Consider the following 4,462-nt stretch of genomic DNA (forward strand, 5'->3'; position numbering starts at 1 on the left):
AAGGGATCCTGGAACAGCCTGATGCCATTCTAAATGATATTTACAGGGGTCCTTGTGGGGTGGAGGTGAGTGTTTGTTGCATGTGGGTTGAATATATAGTATTTGTGCCATGAGTGCAAGCTAAAGTGGTTTTATTCTTTCTCTATTTATTTAGAGATGGAGTCTCGCTCTGTTGCCCAGGCTGGAGTGCAGTCATGCAATCTCAGTGGTTTTAAACATGTCCACACATTCTTTCACACTCTTGTGATCAAGAGATGAAGTCTATATTTCCTGTCCTTACATCTGGGTGGGCCCTTGTGACCATGTTGATGAATAGAATGCAGTGGAGGTGACACTGTGTGATTTCCAAGACTAGGTTAGGACAGAAAGCCAAGGCAGCATCTGCCAGCTTCCCTGGGGACACAACATTCGGGACTCATGGTTCTTGCCCATGTGGTCCTGACATGATTGACTGCAGTGTTGAAACGGTGCTGTTGTCTGCTCAGGCCATAAGGAAAACCAATCAAGTTTGCTTCTCTGCAGGTGATATCCATTATATCCCAACCACCAAATGATTTACATGATGATGGGATGCCATTGATTCCAAGACCCACAACAATATAATAAATGTAACAGATTGCAACTTGGGATGATGATCTCAGCCGTAAAGTGGGAATAATGGTGTCTATCTGTGGTGTGGAGGGAGTCCCCAACACAGCCCAGGCCCAAGATAGACTATCAGTAAGCAGGGGCTGCCAGCACAGAGGTATATTATTACATCGACTCTGCAGAAGGAGGTGGGTGCAAGGTAGTGAGTCAGATGCCAGGCGTAGAGACCGCAGGGAAAGGAAGAGAAAGCCAGAGCAGAGAGAGGAGGCCCGAGGAAATGGCTCAGCTAATGCAACGACAGGACCTCATGAAAAGCAATGTGTCAGAAATGCCTTGGTTACTCGAGTGAAAAAATCAAATTAAACTTTGCATTTGGGAGTGGGGCTGCTCCAGGCCAGGAAACCAGGAAACAACGTCAGCTTGACTGGGAAAGTCTGCTGTGCTCCCTCAGCCCCAGCAAAGCCAGGAGCTGCCAGGGAGGCCTGCTGTGCTCTCCTAGGGCTGCTCTCTGTCTCGGACTTGATGTTTGAACATCTCATGTGGTTCTGTGTGATAACAGCTGTCCCTTTTTCTGTCTGTGGGTGGAGCCCCTTTCTTCTCCTAGAGAAGAGGTCTTGTTTATTCCAGACTTCTTCATTCCTCAGAGAAAGTCAAGAGAGTTGCATGAAAGCAGCAAAGAAGGACTGTGATTAACATTTTATAAAGGCGAGGTGCAGTGGTTCATGCCTGTAACGCCAACACTTTGGGAGGTCAAGGCAGGAGGTTTGCTTGAGCCCAGGAATTGGAGGCTGCAGTGAGCTATGATGGAGCCACTGCATTCCAACTGGGTAATAGGGCAAGACCCTCTCTCAAAAAAAAAAAAAAAAAAAAAATTGTAGCTGCAGGCTGTTTTGATCAAATGAAATCTCATTACAAACTCTAACACGGAAAGCGATCTTTTTTTGTTGTTTTTGAGACAGTCTTGCTCTGTGACCCAAGGTGGAGTGCAATGGCATGGTCTCGGCTCACTGCAACCTCCATCTCCTGGGTTCAAGCCATTCTCCTGCCTCAGCCTCCCCAGTAGCTGGGATTATAGGCGTGCACTACCATGCCCAGCTAATTTTTGTATTTTTAGTAGAGACGGGGTTTCACCATGTTGGGCAGGCTGGTCTCGAACTCCTGACCTTGTTATCTGCCCACCTCGGCCTCCCAAAGTGCTGGGATTACAGGCGTGAGCCACTGCACCCAGCCAGAAAGCAGATCTTTAAAGGAACTCTGGCACAATCATTTTGGACAGCATTTTTGCAACACACAATAAAGCTAAAGAAACATGGGCACTTAGTATGTCCTAGCAATTCCACTCATTGGTATATCCCTAGAGAACTGCTTCTCAAACTTCAATGGGGAGATGAAGAAACTGGAGATCTTATTAAAATATAGATTCTGATTCAGGAGGTCTGGGATGGGGCCACAGAGTCCGTATTTCTAACCAGCTCACAGGTGAGGCTGATGCCCCTATTTCTCTGATCACACTTTAAATAGTGAGGCCCTAGAGAACTGTTTTCTAAACTTTTTCTTTTGGCTGTGACTGCCAGTAAGAAATATATTCTACATTGCAATCCAGTACATTCTTATCTATAATTGAAACAAAAGTTTTATGAAGCAATACTAACCCTTGGTATATGATGCGCTTAATATTAATCTTCTCTTTTGAAAATAAAACCTCAACAAAAAACAACAAAGCAATGCTGACCATAAAGCCACCAGAATGATTTTATTATTCACTAGTGGGTCTCAACCACAATTTGAGAAACAGAACCTAGAGAAATTCTCATAAAGTACAGACCAGGAGACATGAAGTTTCACTGATGCATTGTTTGTAATAACAAAAGAATTGGAAAAAAAACAAAACAAAAACCCAAAATGTCTATCCATAGGACAGTATATCAATACATCTGTGATCTATGCACACAGCAGAATAGTGAAAATGAATGAATTCGAACCACATAAATCAGCGTGTATCTTGAAAACGATGTAAAGTAAAAATTCAAAGCATCCTTTGGCAAAGCATATGTGTTTTAGGACACCAAGTATACACAGTTTAGGAAGAGGTAAGAGAATTCTATTTGTTACTTAGGAAGTCATACATTTGTAGTAAAGGTATAAAAGCTCATAAGGGAATTATTAACACCAAATTCAGGACAGTGTTTGCCTCTTGTGGGGAGAGCGGAATGGGATTGGGGTGCCGTGGGGCTTCATTAGTATTTGTAAAGCTACATTTCTCAAGATGGGTGATGAGTTCATGGTGCTCATTATATTAGCCCCTATCCTTTTTTTTGCAGGCATGAGTCATTTCATAGTAATTACAATTTTAAAAAGAAAGTGAAAGAACGGGAGTTCTTGGGTTTAAATCTGTAGGGGATTGTATTCGTTTCCTAGAGTTAGCATACATTACTAAAAACTTAGTGGCTTAAAACACTGGAAATTTGTTATTTCACAGTTTTGATGTCCAAAAGTGTGAAATCAAGGTGTATTAGTAGGGTTGGAGGCTCTGGAGGCGCCAAGGGAGAATTGGTTGCAAGCTTCTCTTGCAGCTTCTGGTGACTGGCAATGCTCAACATTCCTTGGAGAGGGGATTCATAACTCTAGTCTCTGCCTCCATGTTGACATGGCCTTCCCTCTGTGTCTTCAATCTCCCTCTCCTTCCTCTTGTAAGGACAACAAGCATTGGATTTAGGCTCCACCCTAAATCCAGTATGATCTCATCTGGAGATCCTTAACTTAATTATATCTGCAAAGACTCCATTTCCAAATATGTTCACATTCACAGGTACTACGGGTTAGGTGTTAGACATATCTTTTCAGGGGACAAAATTCCACCCACTATAGGGGTAGAAACTTGTCCATTCAACTCTTTGCTCTCAATATTATCATGATTTTTTGCTTATGCAGGATTTCTCAACCTTGGCACTGTTGACATTACGGATTGAATAATTCTTGGTTATGGGGGGCTTTCCTGTGCCCTGAAGGATGTTTAGTAGCATCCGTGACCTCTACCCATTAGATGCTAGTTGCACCCCATGCCCACCAGTTGTAGCAACCAAAAATGTCTCCACACATTGCCATATGTCTCCCGGGGGTAGGGCCAAGATAAGATACATTATCCTCAGTTAAATGTGAATTTCAGATAAACAATGAAAAAATTTTTAGTATACTGCAAATATTGCATGGGACATACTTATATTAAAAATTATTCATTGTTTTCACTGGGTAGCCTGTTGTTGCATTGAATCTGGCAAACCTGCTAGAGGGCAAATTTACCCCTGGTTTAGAATCACTGGTTAAGAACCATCGTTACAAATTCATATTCCTGGATTGCTTACTCTGTGCCCACAACTATGCTAAGTTCTGTCCATGACTTATTGAATTTACGTTTTGCAGAAACTCTGAGAAACAGGTGGTATAATTATCTCCAGCAAATAAGTAGAAGGGTTAAGTTTTGAACCCAAATCAGTGTTTTCAAGTTGGGTAGGGATAGGGGGGTGACTGCTTGGCAAGCTGTGAACGCATTGTGTGCTTGGGGGAAAATGGTGCTGATGTCTAGACCATCATAGTGAGAGGTACTAGGTTAGAGAGAATGAGAACTGCAAAAGGGGGAGGGCTAGAAGAGAAGGTGGGAGGGTCTAGGAGGAGCTGCTTGTTGAAGATGGGATATTATGGGTGATCCTGGGTTGTGAGATCTTTTACCAAGAGGAGAAGCCACTGAGTTGCGAGCTACGAAGGGAAGGTCACAGTGTTTGGCAGACCTGGATTGGAATGTTGGTTCCACCACTCAGCATGGCCTTGGGTAGATGTTGTAGAGACAACAGTATTTGACATTTGTGCACTTCGTGTG

At 43.1% G+C, this 4,462-nt stretch overlaps 1 annotated feature.

The window, feature by feature from the left end:
- Nucleotides 1,342-1,552: a silencer, noted in NCBI's record as "fragment chr12:118988007-118988217 (GRCh37/hg19 assembly coordinates)". NCBI's record gives its function as "represses an EF-1alpha promoter that drives an FKBP-Casp9 reporter gene in an ReSE screen in K562 erythroleukemia cells {active_cell/tissue: K562}" and the evidence as "EXISTENCE:reporter gene assay evidence [ECO:0000049][PMID:32094911]".

Source organism: Homo sapiens, chromosome 12 (assembly GCF_000001405.40).
Source record: "Homo sapiens chromosome 12, GRCh38.p14 Primary Assembly".
NCBI lineage: Eukaryota > Metazoa > Chordata > Mammalia > Primates > Hominidae > Homo > Homo sapiens.